This window comes from Homo sapiens, chromosome 7 (genome assembly GCF_000001405.40).
Source record: "Homo sapiens chromosome 7, GRCh38.p14 Primary Assembly".
Taxonomy (NCBI): domain Eukaryota; kingdom Metazoa; phylum Chordata; class Mammalia; order Primates; family Hominidae; genus Homo; species Homo sapiens.
Genome location: NC_000007.14, coordinates 27,158,427 through 27,180,783, shown reverse-complemented (window position 1 = coordinate 27,180,783; position 22,357 = coordinate 27,158,427). Strand labels below are relative to the sequence as shown.

At 54.5% G+C, this 22,357-nt stretch overlaps 3 protein-coding genes, 1 long non-coding RNA gene and 1 other non-coding gene across 6 annotated transcripts, besides 13 other annotated features; 4 read left to right on the top strand and 1 right to left on the bottom strand.

The window, feature by feature from the left end:
• Nucleotides 441-1,042: an enhancer, noted in NCBI's record as "H3K4me1 hESC enhancer chr7:27219361-27219962 (GRCh37/hg19 assembly coordinates)". NCBI's record gives its function as "activates a minimal SCP1, AML or CMV promoter by ChIP-STARR-seq in naive H9 embryonic stem cells {active_cell/tissue: H9 hESC(naive)}" and the evidence as "EXISTENCE:reporter gene assay evidence [ECO:0000049][PMID:30033119]".
• Nucleotides 545-18,346, top strand: HOXA10-HOXA9 (HOXA10-HOXA9 readthrough). The gene is made up of 3 exons (NM_001433944.1): nucleotides 545-1,138; nucleotides 15,817-15,906; nucleotides 16,943-18,346. Exons 1-3 carry the CDS (start codon nucleotides 1,129-1,131, stop codon nucleotides 17,179-17,181), a joined length of 339 nt encoding a protein of 112 aa, NP_001420873.1. The 5' UTR covers nucleotides 545-1,128; the 3' UTR covers nucleotides 17,182-18,346.
• Nucleotides 923-10,179, top strand: HOXA10 (homeobox A10). Of its 2 annotated transcripts, none has more exons than NR_037939.2 (2): nucleotides 923-1,138; nucleotides 8,611-10,179. NR_037939.2 is itself a non-coding variant. In NM_018951.4 (2 exons), the coding sequence occupies exons 1-2, from the start codon at nucleotides 6,478-6,480 to the stop codon at nucleotides 8,883-8,885; spliced, it is 1,233 nt and encodes a 410-aa protein (NP_061824.3). In that variant the 5' UTR covers nucleotides 6,464-6,477; the 3' UTR covers nucleotides 8,886-10,179. The 2 variants fall into 2 exon arrangements, 1 of the variants encoding a protein (NP_061824.3); NM_018951.4 differs by lacking the exon at nucleotides 923-1,138 and adding an exon at nucleotides 6,464-7,435.
• Nucleotides 1,043-1,645: an enhancer, noted in NCBI's record as "H3K4me1 hESC enhancer chr7:27218758-27219360 (GRCh37/hg19 assembly coordinates)". NCBI's record gives its function as "activates a minimal SCP1, AML or CMV promoter by ChIP-STARR-seq in naive H9 embryonic stem cells {active_cell/tissue: H9 hESC(naive)}" and the evidence as "EXISTENCE:reporter gene assay evidence [ECO:0000049][PMID:30033119]".
• Nucleotides 5,764-6,409: an enhancer, noted in NCBI's record as "H3K4me1 hESC enhancer chr7:27213994-27214639 (GRCh37/hg19 assembly coordinates)". NCBI's record gives its function as "activates a minimal SCP1, AML or CMV promoter by ChIP-STARR-seq in naive and primed H9 embryonic stem cells {active_cell/tissue: H9 hESC(naive and primed)}" and the evidence as "EXISTENCE:reporter gene assay evidence [ECO:0000049][PMID:30033119]".
• Nucleotides 6,410-7,056: an enhancer, noted in NCBI's record as "H3K4me1 hESC enhancer chr7:27213347-27213993 (GRCh37/hg19 assembly coordinates)". NCBI's record gives its function as "activates a minimal SCP1, AML or CMV promoter by ChIP-STARR-seq in naive H9 embryonic stem cells {active_cell/tissue: H9 hESC(naive)}" and the evidence as "EXISTENCE:reporter gene assay evidence [ECO:0000049][PMID:30033119]".
• Nucleotides 8,765-9,264: an enhancer, noted in NCBI's record as "H3K4me1 hESC enhancer chr7:27211139-27211638 (GRCh37/hg19 assembly coordinates)". NCBI's record gives its function as "activates a minimal SCP1, AML or CMV promoter by ChIP-STARR-seq in naive H9 embryonic stem cells {active_cell/tissue: H9 hESC(naive)}" and the evidence as "EXISTENCE:reporter gene assay evidence [ECO:0000049][PMID:30033119]".
• HOXA10-AS (HOXA10 antisense RNA) lies at nucleotides 8,869-11,885 on the bottom strand. The gene is made up of 3 exons (NR_046609.1): nucleotides 11,791-11,885; nucleotides 11,020-11,477; nucleotides 8,869-9,476 (listed from the first exon to the last, which is right to left on the bottom strand). It is a non-coding gene; the product is annotated as an HOXA10 antisense RNA (long non-coding RNA).
• Nucleotides 11,019-11,609: an enhancer, noted in NCBI's record as "H3K4me1 hESC enhancer chr7:27208794-27209384 (GRCh37/hg19 assembly coordinates)". NCBI's record gives its function as "activates a minimal SCP1, AML or CMV promoter by ChIP-STARR-seq in naive H9 embryonic stem cells {active_cell/tissue: H9 hESC(naive)}" and the evidence as "EXISTENCE:reporter gene assay evidence [ECO:0000049][PMID:30033119]".
• MIR196B (microRNA 196b) lies at nucleotides 11,221-11,304 on the top strand. Its single transcript, NR_029911.1, has one exon. It is a non-coding gene; the product is annotated as a microRNA 196b (primary transcript).
• Nucleotides 11,543-17,722: a mitotic recombination region, noted in NCBI's record as "NUP98-HOXA9 recombination region recombines with the NUP98 intron 12 (HOXA9) recombination sub-region of the nucleoporin 98kDa recombination region". NCBI's record gives the evidence for it as "EXISTENCE:Southern hybridization evidence [ECO:0000078][PMID:8563754]".
• Nucleotides 11,610-12,200: an enhancer, noted in NCBI's record as "H3K4me1 hESC enhancer chr7:27208203-27208793 (GRCh37/hg19 assembly coordinates)". NCBI's record gives its function as "activates a minimal SCP1, AML or CMV promoter by ChIP-STARR-seq in naive H9 embryonic stem cells {active_cell/tissue: H9 hESC(naive)}" and the evidence as "EXISTENCE:reporter gene assay evidence [ECO:0000049][PMID:30033119]".
• Nucleotides 13,390-14,108: an enhancer, noted in NCBI's record as "H3K4me1 hESC enhancer chr7:27206295-27207013 (GRCh37/hg19 assembly coordinates)". NCBI's record gives its function as "activates a minimal SCP1, AML or CMV promoter by ChIP-STARR-seq in naive H9 embryonic stem cells {active_cell/tissue: H9 hESC(naive)}" and the evidence as "EXISTENCE:reporter gene assay evidence [ECO:0000049][PMID:30033119]".
• Nucleotides 14,957-15,833: an enhancer, noted in NCBI's record as "H3K27ac-H3K4me1 hESC enhancer chr7:27204570-27205446 (GRCh37/hg19 assembly coordinates)". NCBI's record gives its function as "activates a minimal SCP1, AML or CMV promoter by ChIP-STARR-seq in naive H9 embryonic stem cells {active_cell/tissue: H9 hESC(naive)}" and the evidence as "EXISTENCE:reporter gene assay evidence [ECO:0000049][PMID:30033119]".
• Nucleotides 15,247-18,346, top strand: HOXA9 (homeobox A9). The gene is made up of 2 exons (NM_152739.4): nucleotides 15,247-15,906; nucleotides 16,943-18,346. Exons 1-2 carry the CDS (start codon nucleotides 15,327-15,329, stop codon nucleotides 17,179-17,181), a joined length of 819 nt encoding a protein of 272 aa, NP_689952.1. The 5' UTR covers nucleotides 15,247-15,326; the 3' UTR covers nucleotides 17,182-18,346.
• Nucleotides 15,834-16,711: an enhancer, noted in NCBI's record as "H3K27ac-H3K4me1 hESC enhancer chr7:27203692-27204569 (GRCh37/hg19 assembly coordinates)". NCBI's record gives its function as "activates a minimal SCP1, AML or CMV promoter by ChIP-STARR-seq in naive H9 embryonic stem cells {active_cell/tissue: H9 hESC(naive)}" and the evidence as "EXISTENCE:reporter gene assay evidence [ECO:0000049][PMID:30033119]".
• Nucleotides 18,223-18,722: an enhancer, noted in NCBI's record as "H3K4me1 hESC enhancer chr7:27201681-27202180 (GRCh37/hg19 assembly coordinates)". NCBI's record gives its function as "activates a minimal SCP1, AML or CMV promoter by ChIP-STARR-seq in primed H9 embryonic stem cells {active_cell/tissue: H9 hESC(primed)}" and the evidence as "EXISTENCE:reporter gene assay evidence [ECO:0000049][PMID:30033119]".
• Nucleotides 19,597-20,282: an enhancer, noted in NCBI's record as "H3K4me1 hESC enhancer chr7:27200121-27200806 (GRCh37/hg19 assembly coordinates)". NCBI's record gives its function as "activates a minimal SCP1, AML or CMV promoter by ChIP-STARR-seq in primed H9 embryonic stem cells {active_cell/tissue: H9 hESC(primed)}" and the evidence as "EXISTENCE:reporter gene assay evidence [ECO:0000049][PMID:30033119]".

Below are 22,357 nucleotides of genomic sequence, written 5' to 3'. Positions count from 1 at the left end.
GCCCGTGGAGGCTTCAACAAGAGGGAGCCTGGTCTGGGTTCCAAGGCAGAGCAGACTCCCAGGAGCCTCTAAGGGTGCTTTCTCCCCAGCTCCCAGCTGAGGCTGCTTTTTCCCTTTGGGGGAAAAAAAAAGGATGCCGATTTCCTCTTTGTTTGCTGCCTTTGAACTTCTGCCTTAAAATTGGACATCACCCATAACCTTGAGGAGAAGGGCTGAAAGGACAGAGCCCTTTGTTGCCCACCCCACCCTCTCTTCAGCCACCCAGGCAGGGCCAGAGCAGCAGATAGGGTCGCATTTGGAGAGAGGCCCCAGACCCCACTCTGTTTATTTGTTTGTGTGTTTGTCTAACTGGCGCGACTGGGGAAATCGAGCTGAAAGGGTAGTGGGACAGATCTAGAGATGAATGTCTAGGTTGATAGGCAGACACGCAGACATGAACAAGGGCCCTCCTGGGGGGCAGGGAGGGGGCGGGCTGGGAAGCCTGGGTTTAGGGAAAGACTTCCTTTGGGATGGTTAAAGATTAACCAAAGTCTCTCAAGTTGCTAGAGAGAGTCTAGCCAGGAGGACTGCTCGCGGGCGGGCGGCGGGCGGGCGCGGGTTTGATTTCTGAGCCCTATAAAAGCCCATCCTCCGATGGCTGTGACAATGTGGTCGTAAACCCGTCCGGGGCCGGCCAATTTGCATATTTGGAATGCGCCGCTATAAACCCGGCTGGGGTTTTGCAGCGATTTCTTAGATGTAAAAATGAGATCTCAATAGCAGCGGGCTGGGCACATCCTCTCCTCTCTCCTTCTCTCTCTGCCCGGAGCTGGTTTCCGTCTCTCGGCTCGGGGCTGGAACTCCGGCCCAACCTAGGCGCGCAGCCGCCACGAGATGGCGCACTTCCGATCAATGTCAAAGCCGCCGGGGAGCCGGGAACCCCAGCATGATTCTTGGCCTTTGTTCGCTTCTGATACTAAGAGCAGCACGGTACATTATTTCACTTGTCCCGCTCCCCTTCATAACAGAAAAAGGGGACTCACCCTCAAGAAGTGATTGGTATGGTAATTTAAAGCAACGCGCATTCGCTAGGCCTCGCGAGCGTCGCCGCGCGGAGAAGCCAGCTGTCCCTTGGCAGTGATTTCGGAAATGTGTCAAGGTAAGAGGCCACAAGTTTAGCAATTTCAGTCTGGTGGGGCGGGAGTGGGGAGGTGGCCGATGTCTAAGCAGGGCTCTCGGGAACGTGGCTGGGTTTGTGGGGTGACGCGGTAGGGAGCCCCCACCCCATTGCTCCCTAAGGTTGGAAAGCAGGGGGAGGCCTAAGTAGAAAAGTTGAGGATTTTAGCTCCTTGCGCCAGCATTTCACTCAAGGCGAATCTTTCGATTTTGTAGAAATACACAGAATAGAATGGGCTAGGGATGAGAGGCATCTAGGCGAAAGTGTTCCAGCTGTGCTGCGATAGGGGGTTGTGGGAGGGCAAAAAAAAAAAAAAAGGTGATCGCGGGTTGAGGAAAACAAAGTTTCCATTCTAAACAATGGGGTGGTAGAAGTCTGCGGCCGCTAAGGCGAGCTTATTCCCAGGGGCAGAAGTCCTGGAGGTCACTGGTTTCCTACTAGGTGCATCTCTATGTCTGCCCGGCAGCTTGGAGAAAACCTTTGTTCCGAAAAAGGCCAATTCGGAGAAGTCGCATGTGATTTTTGAGAGTGCCAGACAAGTCTCTGTGTTGCATACTTGGAGTACGCTGTTATAAACCCAGCTGCAATTTCGCAGCAATTTCTTACATATGAAAATTAGATCTTTTGTAGAAGATATTTTGCAAATATGCAAAAATGTATTGGTAAATACTAATACTTTTTTAAAAAGCTGGAACCGAGGATAAATTTTGACGGAGCAATCACTCCATTGGGGTTGTCATCAAACACATTTTAAATGAAAAAATTCCATTACATTTTGAAGGATCGATTCAAATTCCCTCTTTCTCCTATATTTAATTTTTTCTACTATTTTTCCATTAGTTTCCCACATCTTTTTCTTTTCCCAAATATACAGTGCGTGGTGAGTGGGGTGAATCCCAGAGAAAGTAGGCACTGCCTGTTTGTTGCGTAAATTTTGCCTATCATAGTTACTAGTCTTTGTTGAAGGCTGGCTCCCAAACTATGACGGAGCAAAGCAACAAGGCAAGAAATGAGCGCCCACCCAGTGAGCTGCTCTCTGCAGCGGGAGCCCTCCCTACAATGCCAGAGCCGCCTCCAGTTCTAAGGCCAGAGGCTGTTTATTATGAACAAATCTAAGAATATTGCAATTCAAAGGGTGTGTGAAAAGGCCCCAACACTTCCCTAACAGGGGAAGGGCCATCTTAATGGTTGGATTTAGAAAACTTTAAAAGTATGTTGTTTAGTAATAGATTGCACCTGATAGATTCAAAACAGACACATCAAATATCCCTGAAAATGTTGACATTCTTAAAGATGAATGGGAAAAGAACATCATTGCTTGTGGAAAAATTTTCTAACTATGCATAAATGCATGGATATGAGAAGCTCTGATTTTTTTTTCTTTTTTTGCTAAAGCCAGATATGTAAAAGCAGCCTTTATTTTTCCTCTGTGGGACTGCAGCCCAACTCCACCGCTGGATAATTCAGAGTCTTGAAAGCATTGAGAGTGCCCTCCAGATATAAATTGTTTACTAGCAGTTTCGATCTCAGGACCTGGTATCTTTTCATTAGGAACTTGTTTTTCATAATAGTTTATTTCTCACTGCTTACAAGGGCCTACTCAGAAGGAGTACCTAGTGAACTGCAGCCTAATCCTTGCCGAAGGCCTTAATCCATGGGCCTGGTGTTTACTTTGGCCCCATAGGGCTGGCAGGTTATTACCCGGGTAGAAATGGGCAATATTTCCTCCTAAATAAAACATGGGCTCTGGAGGTGACTGTGTAACCGCTGCATAAGGCCTGGTTGAGGCAAGCAGGCACTGAAGATTTAGGTCAAAGTTACCCTGAGGGAGAGGGAGAAATTTAGTAGCTGGGAAGAATGGCAAAAAAGAAAGAAGGCAAATGAGCACGAGGGAGGAAAAGTGCTTGGAAGCCGACCCACACTACAACTGAATCGCTTTCTTCATCTCTTGGGGTGGGGAATCTCAGGAAAGCCGAGGCGCTCAATAAATGGAATATTTTATTGAGAAACCTAACACTCCAGTGTTAAAGTCTAGAGAGCATGGGAGCCTTGGGGGTCGGTCAGGGATGCTGGGGGCTAGGAGACCAACTGAGAGGGCCAAGGAGGCGTTTAACTTGAGCTTCTGCTGCGTTAGTATCCTCTCATTTGAACCAGCAGCAGCCGGCCCGCCTGCAGCCGGCCAGCTCACCGGCAGTGTCTCGCTGCGTTTCCCACTCAGCAAGCCCTGGTGGGAGTTGGAAGGCAGTCCTGGGCCAGAGAGGGGCTGCCATACATGAGCTTACACACTCTTTTTAAAAGCCAGAAGGAGCTCAAGCCCAACATCCCGTTTGGTTTATTACAAGGGGGAAAAAGTCATACTAAAGAAACACATCTGGCTCACCACAGAAAGGTCACTGAAGACCCAAGTGCCAACGCCACGGCTTGCGAGGCCCATAGCAGGCCTCCCAGCTCCTCTACTCTTCGGCTGGGGCAGCCTTTTGTAGCAGATGCGATACAAACTGACTTTTGTAACCTTGGTTGGCACGTGCAGGTCCCTGGATTCTATCCAGCCTAGAAGCCCATTTGGCTGCCCTACGGGGCCCTGACCTGAGCTGTCTGCTGCAGGGCACCCAGCTTGTCTTGCCAGCCAAATTGGCAGGGCCCCCAAGTCCCAGGACACTGGGGGACTCTGGAAGACCCAAGGAAAAGACTGAGGGGTGTGTGAACTCCTTCGAAATGATGGATCAAATTGTGGGAATATACAGATATGCATTTTTCACAGAATGAGTCAAAACTTACTTGGATTTTCCAGAAGGGTCCTGACTCCCTAAAAGGTTAGGAAAGATAGGTTAAGATCATTGTCTTTTACTTTATTTGTATAGCCTCCACTATCTCAAATATATACTGGACCTTCCCAGATGTCGGCCTGGGAAGTTGCTTTCTGCATTTAGCCTGGAGAGGCATGACTCTAGGCCCAGGTCCTGGCCCACTGACCTGCCACGGCTCATTATCCTTGAGGAAACCTCGAAGGTCTTGGGACCCACTTGCCAAATGACACAGCTTTTCTGAGAGGCATGGGCAGTGCTGAAGAGCAAAGCTTCCTTCCTAGGCAGCCCCCAGCTCTGTGGCATTTCCAGGTGGCATTGCTAAGGGCAACAGTCCCAGCCAGTTCCACCCTTCTGGTGAGCAGGGTAAGGACCAGGCAGATCCGGGAAGCTAAAGATAGGGCCACTGGCTGCGGTGCTCTGAAGCTTTTCTGCACTCAGGTTCGTCCGTCTCATGGGCCTAGAGGGTAGAGAATTTGCCTTGGCCTTGGGCGCAGGAGCATGCGAAGAGCGAAGGAGAGTTAATGATCTCTTGGCACAGACCCTGTCTTGATCCCTCTAAAGCCGCTGCTGCAGCTTCAAGACCCTGTCAGGCTGGAGAGAACTGGCTTTCTTATTCTCTCTCCCCTCCTGTTTCTCTCTCTTTTCTCTCCCTCTGTCCGTCTCTCCTTCTATCTCTCTCTTTTTCTCTCCATCCTCCTCCTCCGCACCCTGATGCTCAGTCCTTACGGCCGGGTCACCGTGGGGCGCCGAGGTTGAAGTGGCTGGAGCGCCGCGCTAGCGGTGGAGCGGCCTTCTGGGCCCGGAGCTCGGAGCAGCCACTGCCCGCAGCGACCGCAGCTGCTTGAATCTCAGAAGCCAGAGCTGGAGCTCTACCTAGCCAGCTCTCTCTGCGCTTTCAGGGTCCTCTCAGGCTCCTCTTCCACCTTGGGCTGGATTCACACTGGGAGGAAGGAGGCAAAGTGCCGCGTATGACCCGGATGCAAGAGTCTTTCCCAGCTGAAGGCAGCGGCCTGAGCGGTCTATTTCCTGGGATGCCGGCGTTCAGTAATGCCAGCTCCGACTGGGGCCGGAGGGGCGGGCAGGCCTAGAGTATCCTGGAGACCTGTAGCCCACGGGCCAGGGGCAAGGCAGCGACCTCCCGGGCTCCACTGGATCTGGCCGGAAAAGGTTGCATTTCCTGAGACTAGCATGAGGCTCACACTTGGGGGCTAGCACCCCAGGCCGGCCATTTCCAGTTGGCTAAAACAGAGCCCCTGAGCCTGCTGAGCAAAGGGCCTGACCTCCACATGCTCTTATAACAGGACCATGAGCCCAGCCCGGCCTTGCAGGGAAAGGATTTCCTCACCGAGGCCTCGTTAAAATGCACACACTGCAGGAGCAAGGACTGCCCTAGCTGAGGGTATGGGAGGGAGGGGAAGAGGGGAGGGGACAGAGAGGTAGGAGTGTAGTGACACTGGTTCTTGTTGTAGCCTCCAGGAGCATATGAGTGCCAAAGCTAACAGGAGAGCAGGAACATAAAGCAGCGGAGGTGTACACCGGGCACACCCCTCCAAGTCTCTCACTTTGGGCCAGCCAAGGACCCCAAGGCCAGCATTTTACTTCCCCGAAATGACTGTGGGCTTAGAGTCTTCCCTAGGTGATGAGGGGATGCTTGGATCTGGCTCTGGCCTTGGGAGTGGGAGTGGGGCCGTCTTTCCATCAAGGCTGGCAGCCGCTTCCCACCCCCAGTCCCGCCAGCCCACCAAAGTCCACTGACAGGAGTTGTAGAGAAGGCAAGCCGGGTGAGCACAACACCAGAGGAGAAGATCCTAACTGGATCAACGGACTAGGGGAGAAAAGTGTTGGGGGTTAGGGGCTAGGGAACAACCACTGCATTTTGGGGAAAAATCTGTGGATACTGGAAGTAGAGGCAAGTCAGCTTCTAGTTCACTCTGGGCTCCTGACACTCTGAGGATCCTGACGGCCATAGGGCCAGGTTCGCCACTTTTGAGGAGGCAGAATTCAGACAAGGGGCCAGTTCCAGATCCAGAGCTGAATGGGAAGCGCGTGAGTCCCCGACACGGCCGCTTCAGTGGTTAGAGTACACCGGGGACTAGTGGCAGCTTCTGCGACAGGGATGGTGAGCACCCAAGGCAGACTGGGCGCGCACCATAAACACCCCACTTGTTAACTGCGCGGGGCCCAAGGGCCCTTCTAAGGGACCCCGGTATGGGGCTCACGTCCGGGTAGGGGCGGGGCGAGCCCAATGGCCAGGCCCCCCACCAGCCACGTTGGGGCAGCCCCCACAGCTCCCGGCCTTCGGGCCAAGGTGTCGGGGTGCGTCTCCTGGCCCATCAATACAGATTACATATTTATATCAATCGCGGGCTCTGAGGGCGCCCTCGGAGAGCGGCCCCGCGCCTACGAAACCAAACTGGGAGTGGTCGCGCGGAAACTCTGGCTCGGGATTGGCTGCGGGCGCCCGCCGCGGTGCGGGGGGATTGCTAATCGTATTCAGCATGTTTTGCACAAGAAATGTCAGCCAGAAAGGGCTATCTGCTCCCTTCGCCAAATTATCCCACAACAATGTCATGCTCGGAGAGCCCCGCCGCGAACTCTTTTTTGGTCGACTCGCTCATCAGCTCGGGCAGAGGCGAGGCAGGCGGCGGTGGTGGTGGCGCGGGGGGCGGCGGCGGTGGCGGTTACTACGCCCACGGCGGGGTCTACCTGCCGCCCGCCGCCGACCTGCCCTACGGGCTGCAGAGCTGCGGGCTCTTCCCCACGCTGGGCGGCAAGCGCAATGAGGCAGCGTCGCCGGGCAGCGGTGGCGGTGGCGGGGGTCTAGGTCCCGGGGCGCACGGCTACGGGCCCTCGCCCATAGACCTGTGGCTAGACGCGCCCCGGTCTTGCCGGATGGAGCCGCCTGACGGGCCGCCGCCGCCGCCCCAGCAGCAGCCGCCGCCCCCGCCGCAACCACCCCAGCCAGCGCCGCAGGCCACCTCGTGCTCTTTCGCGCAGAACATCAAAGAAGAGAGCTCCTACTGCCTCTACGACTCGGCGGACAAATGCCCCAAAGTCTCGGCCACCGCCGCCGAACTGGCTCCCTTCCCGCGGGGCCCGCCGCCCGACGGCTGCGCCCTGGGCACCTCCAGCGGGGTGCCAGTGCCTGGCTACTTCCGCCTTTCTCAGGCCTACGGCACCGCCAAGGGCTATGGCAGCGGCGGCGGCGGCGCGCAGCAACTCGGGGCTGGCCCGTTCCCCGCGCAGCCCCCGGGGCGCGGTTTCGATCTCCCGCCCGCGCTAGCCTCCGGCTCGGCCGATGCGGCCCGGAAGGAGCGAGCCCTCGATTCGCCGCCGCCCCCCACGCTGGCTTGCGGCAGCGGCGGGGGCTCGCAGGGCGACGAGGAGGCGCACGCGTCGTCCTCGGCCGCGGAGGAGCTCTCCCCGGCCCCTTCCGAGAGCAGCAAAGCCTCGCCGGAGAAGGATTCCCTGGGTAAGCAGGGCTGCAGAGGGCTGCAGTCAGGCGGGCAGACAGGCAGACACAAGGAGGAGAAGGATCAGAAAACTAGGAGCCCGCGCAGCAGCCGGCCGGCCTTGGCCCAAGCTGCAGGCAGGCTGACCTTGTGAACTTGCTTTTTAATATTTGGGCGTGGGGACGCAGTAAAATTCATGTCCGGCTTAGCGCCCCACAGCAAGACGTCCTCGGCGCTGGCCTCAGCTCCCCCTGACTAGGGACGAGGACACCAGCGAGCAGGCCCCCTCCTGTGCGCTCTTTCCTGTGGCCGGGAGGACCCAGAGCCCTGGTCCCTGCCCAGCCTGCGCGGCGCGGCCCACGCGGGGGGAGGGGGAGGGAGGGAAAGTAGCTCGCCCGCAGATAGCGCGGATGTTTGTAAGGCATCCAAAATAAGCAGCCGCCAGCGCCAATAAATAAGCCCATTAACCGGCGAAGTTCGAGTTTACGATCCCCCATGCTTTTTTCAAAGTTGCTGAGGGGCGGGAATCTTCGTTGCGGGAAGAAGAAAAGGCAAATCCGGCCTGGAAGCGGGGGGCCCTGAGCTGAGAGCCAGAGAAGGGCCATTTCCCTTCCCCTGGACCTCGGAATCGCCCAGCTATCTATCCCTGGCTCCTGGAGAAACTTGAGGGAGGGCCCTTGACCCCCGAATCGGTTTTTCCTGCCTTCCCCATTGGACCAATGATGCCCTTCTTTCTCCCCTTATCGAGTCTTGGGCAATCAGGGCCCTGGGGTGAGACAGCCAAGCTGCCTGGCCCATCTTCCAAGTAAGCACCCCGCGCTCCTAGCCTGGGGGCTACAGGAAATGCTTGTCTGCCATATGGCAAGAGGCAAAGAAAAGCGTTAAGTTCAAGATGTACAGCCTGCCCTCCCAGGCCTTTCCTTCTGCAAGCATCTACGGCTTAGCGCTAAAACAGGTGTTTGGAAAAGTGGGGGAAATGTAAATTGGAAGGGTCATGTAGATTGAAGGCCCACTCAATTTTTGTCATGACTTTTGGAGGAACTGCTTGCTCTCAGCAAGCCAAAAACGGGGGCACGACTCTCTTCTCTGTGACTTGGGACATCTCTCTTATGGGAGAAACGGAGGCAATTCACCCCCGCGGGCAGCCCGTGTGGCCTCGACTTAATCATCCCCTCTTTATTCTCTTACATGCCAGGCAATTCCAAAGGTGAAAACGCAGCCAACTGGCTCACGGCAAAGAGTGGTCGGAAGAAGCGCTGCCCCTACACGAAGCACCAGACACTGGAGCTGGAGAAGGAGTTTCTGTTCAATATGTACCTTACTCGAGAGCGGCGCCTAGAGATTAGCCGCAGCGTCCACCTCACGGACAGACAAGTGAAAATCTGGTTTCAGAACCGCAGGATGAAACTGAAGAAAATGAATCGAGAAAACCGGATCCGGGAGCTCACAGCCAACTTTAATTTTTCCTGATGAATCTCCAGGCGACGCGGTTTTTTCACTTCCCGAGCGCTGGTCCCCTCCCTCTGTCTTCAGGCTCTGCCCAGGAACTCGCACCTGTGCTGGAGCCCTGTTCCTCCCTCCCACACTCGCCATCTCCTGGGCCGTTACATCTGTGCAGGGCTGGTTTGTTCTGACTTTTTGTTTCTTTGTGTTTGCTTGGTGCTGGTTTATTTGTTGTTTTCTGGGGGAAAAAGCCATATCATGCTAAAATTCTATAGAGATAGATATTGTCCTAAGTGTCAAGTCCTGACTGGGCTGGGTTTGCTGTCTTGGGGTCCCACTGCTCGAAATGGCCCCTGTCTTCGGCCGAGCTGGTTTCCTGCCCAGCCTGGGGCAAACCTAGCCGGAAGGCCGAGGTCCCATTGTTGGCGCTGAGGTGTCTGGCCTGAGGTCAATGGTGCAAAGGAGCCGCCACCGGGCATGTCTGCCTGGAGTGCTGTGCTGTGTTTAATCAGGGGATACAGGCCCCTGGGTTTCTTTTTTCTTTCTTCCTTTCTTCCTTGGCCAAGAGAAGGGCTTACAGGCATGGACATGCAGGTTGGCAAACGGGCTTGACTTTGGCTGATTTAAAAAGTGAGAAAGAAAGTAAAAAAGGTTAATTTTTCCTTCCTCTGTAAGATATCCCAGCTTTAAAAAGAAAAAAAAAGAATTACCAAGAGAAGGGGACTTCTCTTCCAGTTTCTGTAAGGTCTTACATTGCCTGACTAAAATGTTTCATTTACCTCTAAATTTCCATATCCTTCTGGCTGTAGATAAATAATGTAGTTTTGTTTATGCATTTGGAATTAGTGGATTTTTTTGTCATTAAAATTGTTACCACTGGTAACATGTGACAAGCACACCACAATTCTCCCTATCTTGTGAAGTTGTTTTTTTAAATCGCCTTGAACAAAAAGTTTTTTTTTTGTTTGTTTTTGCTTTCTGAAATTCACAGAAGCCTAGGAGGACTGGGGTAAGCGGAATAAACTAGAGAAGGGAGACATTGTTTGGATTTCCTTTATACTGTGAAGTTACATGCATAAAAGGGTCAAACCTGTAGATGCAGAAAAAGAAAAAAACTATAAATACAAATCTGTATAAATGTCTATTATTATGAAGAATTGCCAATCTTGTTTTAAGCAAATGCATTCTATCGTTATTATAAATGTTAGTTCTAGCTCTATTTACTTCTAATCTTAAATCAGAATAAATTAATATTGTATTGCTGCTGTGCGTGGAAAAAGACGATGTTTATGTTCTTATAGAATAAAAGCTGTGGAATGAAGCTTTTTAATTTTACCTCTTTTTTGACTTCTTATCTTCACCTTCCACTTTATCCCGTTCACCACTTTTACAACAGGAGGACTAACCCGAGCCCCTGCAATTACTTTAGGCATCTATTTAAATATTACCTAGACGGTCGTAATTTGTCTGGGCCCTATAGCCCTGGTGCCGTAAGGTTTGTCGGCTTTTGTTCAGTTTTATGGCTTGCTAGTATATCTGGATTGTGGCTGTCTTGGACCAGTGATTTCAGTTGAGAGGGGAGCTACATAGACAGAGGAAGCCAAACAGGATTTCTTTCGGGAGCCCCAGGGAGGCTTGCAGAGGCCGGTTATTTTGCGGGTGTCTGGGTCACAGATGACCCTCAATCTGAATCGGGGAGCAGGCCTGGCCCACAGCGCATCTCTAGCCGCTGGAGGCAGCGGTTAGGTGGACCCGGGCTGGACTGCATGGGGGCCTCCCCCTCCCCCAGTACGGCCTCCCCCACCTGGCGGCACTCCTTAGGGCCACGCGTTTCCTGCTTGCCAGAGTGGGGGGGGCGGGGGCTAAGGGGAGGGGGCGCAGGAGCGCGCGCCCCGGCGGGCGGGCAGCTAGGAGGGAGAGGGGGAGAGCGAGAGGCGGGAGGCCGGGGCCAGACAGGGAGCCGGGATCTGTACCGTCCCTGGCGCTTTCGAGCCTTCCACGGCTACCGCCTCTTGGCGCCGGCTCGCTGGGCTGCAAGATTTGGGAAAGCGGCGCGCACACTGCTTCTCGGAGCTGCTCTCGTCTCGCCTGCTCCCCGCCTTTATTCCTCTCTCCCTGCCTTTCCTCCCTCTCTTTTCCTCCCTCTCCCTCCCAGGAATACCTTACTGGGGCCTGTGGCTTCCCCTTCCTTGACGCATTTGCGGCCGCCTGGGGCACTCTGTTGCACTGGCGGGCGCAGGTTGCCTAGGGGCTGGGCTGGGCCGGGCCAGGCGCGATGGCAGGGTTCTCTCCTTGGCGGCGGCGGCAGCGGCGGAGGCGGCGGCGGCGGCGGGCGAGGCAGCCCTTCGCGGGCAGCACCAGAACTGGTCGGTGATTTAGGTAGTTTCCTGTTGTTGGGATCCACCTTTCTCTCGACAGCACGACACTGCCTTCATTACTTCAGTTGAAATCGTCTCCAGGTACCTCTGCGCGCGGGGGTCGGGCCGGGCGGGGCATCACGGCCCTGGTCGTGCCAGGCCTGCGGTGGCAACCTCGGCTTTCCCTGCTCAGGAGCCTCGTGTCTTTCTCCGCAGCGCTTTGCCAGCCGGCCGGCTTTCCCCTTCCACCACACACCTCCACCTGGTCACAGCAGGTAGGGTTAGGTTGGCTGCTCCTTCGCGGACGCCGGGGGCGTGGTAGGAATTCTGGGCTTTGGGCCATTCAAGGTCAGGGGCGCCCGCTTCCATCCTGAGCCTCCCACTGGAGGCCTGCGCCTGCCCAGGGACCTCCTGCCATTCTCTTGTAAGGCTGGAACACACACACACACACACACACACACACACACACACACACCAGTCCCGGGTGTGAGCTCAGGAAAGAACCTCCTTCCAGTGGAGACTCAGGCTGGACTAGGAAGGATAGGGCAGGCTGGGATCCTGGCCTTGTCACTTACCCTTCTCTCTGTAAGCTCGGCCGCTGCTAGGAGTCGCCTCTCTTTTCTTCCTTCTTTTCCCTGTCTTCCCTTCCTCTTTTATCTCTTCTTTCTTTTTTTCTTCTTTCCTTTGCTCCTTCCTGCTTTCTTTTCTTCCGTTGGTCTTTTTTTCATCTTCCGTCTCTGCCAGATTCTATCTCACCTCCTTATCTCCTTCCCAAAGCATCCTTGGGGAGGGGCCCAGAGCTGGCTTCAGGAGAGCCTAGGGGGTCTCACTTTCCTCTGCGGCTCAAGTAGAGGTTGGGAAGTCTGCCGAGGAAGGGCCCGCGTGGGGCGGCTGCCGAGGGCGGTGGGTTTGGGCCTGGTGTGTTACTCTGCAGACAAGGCCTCGGTTATGATCACGACCGGATGGCGGCAGCCTTGCGTTTCTTCGCCTGTCGCTAACGGCTGACTAGGAGATCTGATTAGGGGACATTCGCTGCAGCTTTGTGTGCCCATATCGAGGGCAGGGAGGCCTTCGCCAGCCTCACTGGGGACTGGAGCTGAGGCCCAACCAGCCTCGCTGGAGCCTGGCCATTCGCTGGGAAGCTCTTAGCTGGCTCTTCCCGGCCTGCCGGTCACAGCTTGGGGTTTGACCGCATTGAGGGAGACTGGCTAGGGCAAAGCTTGACTGCTTGCTTACTAGTGGCTTCCATTAGGTACAAAATATGTTCCATACAGCACCTTTGTGCAGCTGGGTGCTGGAGAAGGGGACCCTTCCAAGAGCCAGTATGTTTTAAATGGGCAAAAAGAATCCCAAATTCCAGAGCCATTGATATAAACTTGAGTCATCGTTCCAAATTGTAGTCTACAGATGGGAGCCAGTCTGACCATTTTCCCTACAGAAAACAGAAAACAAACTATCTCTCCCTACTCCCAACACACACAGTTACAGATTCGTGCCCACAAAGCTGTTTCCTTTCCCTGCCTGGACTGGAGGCCCAGGAACTCTTTCGTTGCACAGCCACCGACCTGCTGTCTGAAAGGACCACACACCCCATTCCCTTCAACTCCTCCCTGCCATTTTCTGGACCAGGGCATTGGATTTATTTCAGAGATCACAGTTTCAGAAATCTCAGTCGAGAAGGGGCCGCTTTAAATTATACTCATTTATTATTTCTTTATGCATACGCAATCTCTTTCACTTCGAAAATAAAAGCAGACAAAAAAGTCAGACTATTCTGGCTCCAAACCTTTGGGCTGAAGGAAGACAATATTTGGTTTTCTGATTTTTCTCCGCTTTCTAGGCACCAGTAACATCTGCTTAACACTCAACGCCTGCTAATTGTTCAGTAACTCTCTTATTTTGGGGCTAAGGCTGTTTAAAGGAACAGCTTTTTTACTTAAAAAATACTGAAATAATCAGTGTCTTCTCAGGCATAAAACGTGGAAAAGGCATCCAGACATGCCCAGCCCATTTGCAGACACTTAAAATTGGGAGCCAGGGTTTCCTCCAGGGTTAATTTTTTAAATGAAAATCTCAGAGGCCTGGCGGACTGCGGGGTATTTAGGACACGGTGGACTGTGGTGGGGGTGGGCATGACCTAGAGGAATTTATGGGGCAAGGAAAATATTAGGGGGAGGGAGATGAGGCGGACAGGACGGGGCCATTTCGGAGTTCATTGTGTCGGCCACTTCCCTCTTCCAGGCGCGGGTGCAGGAAGGGGCACCCAGTCGGTATCCGCGCGGCTTGGCAGCCTCGCTGGTATTTGGGAGTCCCAGCCGGAAGTGTGTCAGGGTGTTTGAGGGGGGGATTACTGGAACTGCTGGTGAGGATGAAGGCAAAAGAGAGAGAGAGAGATGGAAGCGCCCGAGGCCGCCAGCCTCGCCGCCAGGGAAGTGGGCTAATGAAAAACACACTGTTGCAGGCACAGTATCCACACGTGAATTTGATTACCCCTGTTCTAGGAGTCGCTGCTTTCTGTTAGGAATTGGGGGCAGGGGGAGTTTCCTTCCAATTAACGGAGTGGCGGCGACCTTTTAATTTACCCCCAACGGGTGAGAAATAAACTTCCCCAACGTGGCCAGGCCCAGGAATGGGACTGGAGTCGATGCCCTTTTACCCCTCCCCGTTCTAATTTCCAGCCCTGGCCTTGAGCTGTGGCTGCCTCTCTTTGGGCCTTGTACCTCTCCGCCGAGTCTCCGGGCCCCGTAGGTAACCAAGGCGAGGCCCGGAGTAGCAGCTGGAAAGGGAGGAAGGAGCCCTGAAAGGCTCACGCGGCCCCGGGACAGGCCACATCGGTGCGGGCCTCCCAGGTTCCGGAGCTGCGGGGTCTCTTAGGCGAGGCTGCCTTTTCCCAAACCGAACTTGCCTTCCATTCATGCCACTTGTAGTTTTTTCCCCAGCTGGGATTCACGGAGCGCAACCAGGCTTGCAGCGCTCATGGTTAGAGCCTCTGAGGCTGGAGCACAGGGCTGGGTCGCCAGCCGCCTGCGCCTGGGAATCCTGATTGCCAGCTGATGAGAAAGGCGGGCTGGGCGCGCGTGTGCGTGGGGTCGAGGGCCGGGGACCGAGCGCGCCGCACAACCAACCAGGCCCTCAAAACCTTCGCCCTGGTGGCGGCTGGCCGCTCCCTCCTGGCCAGCTCCTCCGTGGGGTCCTCGTAGCAAAGGCGAATTTAAGGGTTGCCCGGGCGCCCCTCGCTCCAGGCGGGTAGCTGTGGGGACCTACACCCGCGGTACTCCCTGAGCGGCCGGTCCCTGCCTGGAGTGCCCTGGTAGGGCCGGCGGCGGCTCCGTTTGGGACGGATCCTGCGTTGAATTTGACTTTTCGAGGGCGGCCGCGGGTAAACTCGCCTCTCCCGGGGACCGCAGGGATTATTTACAGGGAGCTCGCCAACCAAACACAACAGTCTAACCTTTCCAAGTCCTCGTAAATTTTTACAGCTGGGAGCCACGGCGAGGCAAACGAATCTGTTGGTCGTTTCCGACTTCCCGCCAGCCTGTGTGGCTTCTGAAACAATAACTCCTTATGAAATATCATAAATATAGATTTAAATACAGTAGAGCGACAATGCGATTTGGCTGCTTTTTTATGGCTTCAATTATTGTCTAATTTTATGTGAGGGGCTCCGCTGGCCGCACTCGCACGCGGGACCCGCGCCTTCTTGATGGCGTGATTAATTGTGATATAAAATAGTCCGCTTAAGAAGTGTGTGTATGGGGGGGGAGACGGGAGAGTACAGAGACAAGGCTAGATTTGATCTTTTAATCGTCGTTGGCCACAATTAAAACAAACCCCATCGTAGAGCGGCACGATCCCTTTACATAAAAACATATGGCTTTTGCTATAAAAATTATGACTGCAAAACATCGGACCATTAATAGCGTGCGGAGTGATTTACGCGTTATTGTTCTGCTGGACGGGCACGTGACGCGCACGGCCAATGGGGGCGCGGGCGCCGGCAACTTATTAGGTGACTGTACTTCCCCCCCGGTGCCACCAAGTTGTTACATGAAATCTGCAGTTTCATAATTTCCGTGGGTCGGGCCGGGCGGGCCAGGCGCTGGGCACGGTGATGGCCACCACTGGGGCCCTGGGCAACTACTACGTGGACTCGTTCCTGCTGGGCGCCGACGCCGCGGATGAGCTGAGCGTTGGCCGCTATGCGCCGGGGACCCTGGGCCAGCCTCCCCGGCAGGCGGCGACGCTGGCCGAGCACCCCGACTTCAGCCCGTGCAGCTTCCAGTCCAAGGCGACGGTGTTTGGCGCCTCGTGGAACCCAGTGCACGCGGCGGGCGCCAACGCTGTACCCGCTGCGGTGTACCACCACCATCACCACCACCCCTACGTGCACCCCCAGGCGCCCGTGGCGGCGGCGGCGCCGGACGGCAGGTACATGCGCTCCTGGCTGGAGCCCACGCCCGGTGCGCTCTCCTTCGCGGGCTTGCCCTCCAGCCGGCCTTATGGCATTAAACCTGAACCGCTGTCGGCCAGAAGGGGTGACTGTCCCACGCTTGACACTCACACTTTGTCCCTGACTGACTATGCTTGTGGTTCTCCTCCAGTTGATAGAGAAAAACAACCCAGCGAAGGCGCCTTCTCTGAAAACAATGCTGAGAATGAGAGCGGCGGAGACAAGCCCCCCATCGATCCCAGTAAGTGTCTCCTCCCTTCAAATCCGCCGCCGCCTCCACGCCGGCCTCCCGGATCTGCTGGCCCGCCAGGTTTCTCTCGAGCCTGCCTTCGTCCTCGCTGGAAGCCTCTCGAGTTGGGGCCAGGAGCCAGAAGTTGGTGTTTGGGACGCCTCAGATAGGGCCCCAAGTCTGGAGAGCAGTGAAGAGCGGCCCGCAGGGCTACGGGAGAGGAGGCGGCTGCTGCAGCGAGAGGGGGCGGGGCGGGCACTTCGGGACGAGCCAAGACTGGCCGCCCCTCTCCTTGGCTGCCCAGGCCCAGGACCGAGATACTTTGGGCCGTTCTTCGAAAGCAGTGCAGCCCAGAGAGCCTTTTGTACAACTAGATTGTCCGTGAGCGGCGGCAGCCAGGGCAGCCGGAGCTGGGACGCTGGGGGAGACGGCCGATTCCTTCCACTTCTTGCCTTCGGCCAGTGGCGGCGTAAATCCTGCCAAGATGAGGCTGCGGGCGACCCGGGCCACAAGGGTCCCCATGACAGATTATTCAAATAAGCCACAGACGTGATCAGCGGCCTTAGGGCGCCCTGACGGCTTGCCCAGCTCCGAAGGCCTTCCAGGAAGGTTAAATAAGGAGTGGGGGGCGTAGAGGGACAGGTTGGGAAAGAAAGACGAAGTCAGTGAACGGGACAGAGGAATCCTAATCTTGCTACAGAACACAAGGCAGCATGCTTTCCCTCTGCGTGGCAAGGAGACCTGTTTCCAAATTTCATTCTATACAGCGTTTTGAGAGTGGGAGGAAGGAGAAGGGGGACAAGAGGACAGAGTAGGAGAAAGGAAGGTCTCGGAGGGGAGGGCGAGCCAAAGTTTTACTGCGTGCAATTTTAAGTGACTGTCTGTGCGTCTGTCTGCCAGGGTTCCATTGTGTCCGAGGCCTGACTGCCTTTCCTAACCAGTTCAGCAGAGTTCTGCACTTCGGCCAGAGACCCCATGCAGGAGGCTCATTTGCCCCAGCGGGATGTGCGTCTTCTGCTCCTAAACCCAGTGTTTCTCTTCCCCGCAGATAACCCAGCAGCCAACTGGCTTCATGCGCGCTCCACTCGGAAAAAGCGGTGCCCCTATACAAAACACCAGACCCTGGAACTGGAGAAAGAGTTTCTGTTCAACATGTACCTCACCAGGGACCGCAGGTACGAGGTGGCTCGACTGCTCAACCTCACCGAGAGGCAGGTCAAGATCTGGTTCCAGAACCGCAGGATGAAAATGAAGAAAATCAACAAAGACCGAGCAAAAGACGAGTGATGCCATTTGGGCTTATTTAGAAAAAAGGGTAAGCTAGAGAGAAAAAGAAAGAACTGTCCGTCCCCCTTCCGCCTTCTCCCTTCTCTCACCCCCACCCTAGCCTCCACCATCCCCGCACAAAGCGGCTCTAAACCTCAGGCCACATCTTTTCCAAGGCAAACCCTGTTCAGGCTGGCTCGTAGGCCTGCCGCTTTGATGGAGGAGGTATTGTAAGCTTTCCATTTTCTATAAGAAAAAGGAAAAGTTGAGGGGGGGGCATTAGTGCTGATAGCTGTGTGTGTTAGCTTGTATATATATTTTTAAAAATCTACCTGTTCCTGACTTAAAACAAAAGGAAAGAAACTACCTTTTTATAATGCACAACTGTTGATGGTAGGCTGTATAGTTTTTAGTCTGTGTAGTTAATTTAATTTGCAGTTTGTGCGGCAGATTGCTCTGCCAAGATACTTGAACACTGTGTTTTATTGTGGTAATTATGTTTTGTGATTCAAACTTCTGTGTACTGGGTGATGCACCCATTGTGATTGTGGAAGATAGAATTCAATTTGAACTCAGGTTGTTTATGAGGGGAAAAAAACAGTTGCATAGAGTATAGCTCTGTAGTGGAATATGTCTTCTGTATAACTAGGCTGTTAACCTATGATTGTAAAGTAGCTGTAAGAATTTCCCAGTGAAATAAAAAAAAATTTTAAGTGTTCTCGGGGATGCATAGATTCATCATTTTCTCCACCTTAAAAATGCGGGCATTTAAGTCTGTCCATTATCTATATAGTCCTGTCTTGTCTATTGTATATATAATCTATATGATTAAAGAAAATATGCATAATCAGACAAGCTTGAATATTGTTTTTGCACCAGACGAACAGTGAGGAAATTCGGAGCTATACATATGTGCAGAAGGTTACTACCTAGGGTTTATGCTTAATTTTAATTGGAGGAAATGAATGCTGATTGTAACGGAGTTAATTTTATTGATAATAAATTATACACTATGAAACCGCCATTGGGCTACTGTAGATTTGTATCCTTGATGAATCTGGGGTTTCCATCAGACTGAACTTACACTGTATATTTTGCAATAGTTACCTCAAGGCCTACTGACCAAATTGTTGTGTTGAGATGATATTTAACTTTTTGCCAAATAAAATATATTGATTCTTTTCTATTTTTTGCGGGTCTGCTCTTTGCACCTTCTTCTCTGGGTCAGGGGAGCCTATGTAGAGTCTCTGGGTAGGGGCGGGTTGGGGTGGTGAGAAAGAGCCCCAATTTTGCCTCTGGCTGGCTTTCAGGAGCGGGACCTGCCACAACCAGTCCGCCGAGCTAAGCTCTCCCAAACAGGCCAGCTGCCTGGCGGCGAGAAAAAGCTGGGAAACCCGGCGGAGGAGCCAGGCTCCCGGCCTTGTGTCTATGTGCGGGACGGCGGAGAAGCCCCTGAGGAGCTGGTCTGGTCTGGCCAGTAGCAGTGGAAAGACCACTCTCACCTTGGTGCCCCCGAGAAAATTCCCAAACCTGGGCCTTCGTTAGCTTGGTGAGGAAAAGGGGGAGAGGGTGACAGGATAGAGAGCTGGGAGCCGCCTTCTAAGCAGGCTCTGAAGAGGGAAATAGGAGCCCCACCGGCCCAACGTGGCCATGCAGGCAAACATTTTGGGGGCTTGCAAAGGAACAAAGCCCTGCATCCTCGCACCGCCCGCCACCCCCGCGGAGTCCTGCCAGCCTGGCCCAAGAGAATCTGGGTCCTGCACTGCAAGCACCTCTCGAGCACAAGGCCTAACAGAGGCAGGGCTGAGGCAATTGACGAGCCCCTAAGCGCCATAAAAGAAAATGAGGGCTGTTACCGTTTATGGGGTGTAAAGGGCTACGAGGGGCGGGGGGGGGGGAACGGCCACAACTTCGGAGGCCTGAGCGCTTTCCAGATGTGGCCGGAGGGTTCGGCCTCGCTTCCACCCCCTTGCTTCCCTCGCCCGACCCCCTTCCCCCACTCCACGACTTCTGCAAAGTTGGATGTGTTCTAAGCTTAAAAGGGGAACCAGGGCGCGGGTGGATGAGGCGTCCCCTAACCCCCACCCCCACCCCGCCGCCAGGTTGGGACGCCCTCTGTTGTTGCAGACAGAAGGAACTTCAAAGAATAGGCAGTAAGAGTGTGCCATAAAGGCCGGGTCTGCGAACTGTCTGGAATTCGTCCCTTAATGAGTTTACAACTGTCCAGCCCCAATTAGGATATTCCACCAAAGCCCTTTCATTTGTTCATTTGTTCTGTCTGCCGCCGATAAAGCGGCTGCGGAAACACCTCTTTTATTGGCATTGCCTCCTCTGCAGTAGATTCCGGGCTCCACGCAGACTCCCCGGGACCTAGGCCCACGCCCCTCGTTTGGGAGTGGGGTGCGGTGGGCTAGCCGGCGGCTCCCAAAGCTCAGGCCGGCGGAGGTAGCTGAGGCTGCAGTACCAAACGGCGGCCAGCAGATGGCAGTGTGGCTCCATGCAAGAGGCTTCCGCGCCGCCATCTCCCGCCTCCGCGACCCTTGTGAAGTTCCTAAGATGTCGACTTGACACGAGCCTTTCTGGAATGGGAGCCCCAGATTTTAGTGAACAGCCGCCCTATATTTTCTGGGCTGCTCAAGCCTGGCTAGAAGCCTCGCTGGGAAACAAGGAATCGGCGGGGGCTTGCCCGACCCTCACCGCTCGCGCCTCCCTGACCCCATCCCGGGGGCCCAGTGCTGCCGGGCTGCAGCTGTCCGGGCGGCCGCGGGGCTGCAGCTCCAGGCGCGGGCGCGGCTCCAGGGTCACCGTCCTCAGCTGGGACAGGCCTGACACAGCCAGGCGCCAGAGAGCCCCGGCTGACTGGCGGACACAGGAGGAACGCCTGCAGCCCCAGAACTTGATGACCGCCCAGAGGGTGTGCACGGTGCGTGCCGAGGGCTCACACCGTGACCGCGGGGTCCGCGGCCGCCCAGGAGGCCCCCGAAACCTGCGACCTGGGTCAGGGCCCGGCGAGCCAGAACCCAAGACAGAGCCAGGACCCCGGGACTCGGCTGGCTTGAATCGAGACAATAAAATTAGGCGGTGAAAATTGGGCGTAAAGGCAATCTCGGTGTCTGACCACTGTAGGTATAGGGGCCGGGCCGAGTTGGCTGGGAGGAGAATCCTGGGGGACAAACCAGGGACTGCTTTGGTTATTTTTTTAATGTGATGTTTAATATAACAATCACACCGTAGCACCAAAAGTGTCGCACACAGTGTGGAAGCCGCCCGGGCTGTCTCTGGCCGCGGCATGCCCTCCGCTGTACAGGAACCGAGGCTGCTCTGGCGTTCACCCATCAGGAGGCCAGAAGGGAGGGGACCCCAATCCAGGCCCAGCCTCTCCCAGACCCTAGGCGGGGAACACGCTTCGGCCTCCTCTCGGGTGCGCGCATCAGCCACGGATGTCGAATGGTTCCAGAGGCAAAACGCAAAAGCAAACAGAGAACCTTTCGAAAGGCCCCGGAGCCCTGTGAACACGCTACACAGTGCATTTATTTGGGTCGTAATAGTCTCCGCCAAGCCCACAAAATGTTTACGACCCGCATCCCAGTGCTTTCACGCTGTAAAACTGGGGACTGGATTTTGGTTGATGTCTCTCCCGGGTGTTTGTTCTCTCTTTCCTTTCACACACACACAATATCTCTCCTTTCTCTCTCTCCCTCTCTGTCTCTCATCTCATATATACATATACATATATATATGGATAGATAGATAGATAGATACAGATATTACAGACACACACCTTCATTACATTTCCGTATATAATTTCACAACGTCTGATTGTAAGAAGGGTTTTATAGCTTCCCTGGGAGTCAACCGTGGCTTTGTATTCAAGCCGCAGATAGAGAGCTCAATTTATGTTAACTGCAAATAAATAGTGAAGTCGCAGATCCGTGGATGCAGAGAGAAAGCTCGATTTGTGTAACTACAAATAAATGAAGTCACAGATCGGTGGCGACTGCGTCTCTCCACTGATCACGGAGGCCTCAGGTAGGTGCAGGCCGCCCAGGGTCTCCCAGGCCTGGGTGGACTGTCCAAAGGCTCCTCCCTTGCCCTTGGCAGGCTGGTGGCTGGGAGTCTGCTTTTCCTCTGGGAAGCCTGGGAGTGGCTTCCCCGCTGCGGACCTTCACCCAGGCAAGACCCCGCACCAACCCAATCTCATTTGTACACGACAGGTACGAGTTTGTCTTTGCACCCAGGCTAGGGATCACTCACTCACTGGATGGGGAACAGATGCAGCTGGTGAGAGAGGCAAGGGTGGAAACCTTTAGGAAGCAATTTGCCTGCCACCCAAATCTCTGGAAGGCGCTGTTCCCTGCCTAGAGCTGGCTTTACCTTCATAATTGAATTTAAATATTGGTATTTGGTAACAAGAAGCAGAGTGAACACGCTCTGCCAGTAGGTAGGAAGGAAGCTCAGGGACGGCAGTGGAAAATGTCTATCTAAACATAGCTCTACTGATTAGAAACCCGCCTACATGTGCCTGCTTCAGGCTGAGGGTCAATGAGTATTTCTGTGAAAATTATCTCACATAACCTAGTGCATTTGTGTCTTTTCAGTCAAATAAGTAGAGAACCAATGAATAGAGAACACACAGTTAAAGAAGCCTTATTGAAAGCCTGATTTTATCCGACCTTTTCGTTTTAAATCAGACCACAGAGGGCAAGAGGGGAGAAGGAAGCCTGGAAACGAAAGGGAGGTTTCGGTGTCCGCAGGACTCGGCCCAGTTGGCTGACTTGGGTCCATAAAGGCCGAAGCCTTGCGGGCAGTATCCGCATCCTCCTTGGCCGGGGCAGAGGGGCAGTGCGTCCTGCCAGAACCTCCTGGACGCGCATCGGGCAAAACCGGAGCAGGAATGAGCCGGTGGCGAGGGCACCCGGCCCTCCCTTGGCGAAGTGCGTTCCTTCCCGCGATCCCCGAAATCGCTCCCTGCTCGGGCTGTTGGACTGGGCAGGTTCTACTTTAAACACCAGCTCTGTTGGCCCCTTCAGTCGCTTGAGTCTAGACAGACGGCGGCGGCGGGGGCCTTGGTCTTTTCTCTTTGCGTCTTGCTGTGTGTCACCCCAGGAAAAATTTATTGGTCTAAAACGGTCTAATTCTGCCTCTTTGATCTCCTAGCCTTCTTGTTTGCTTCATCTTCCTTTAACTTTCTTGGGTT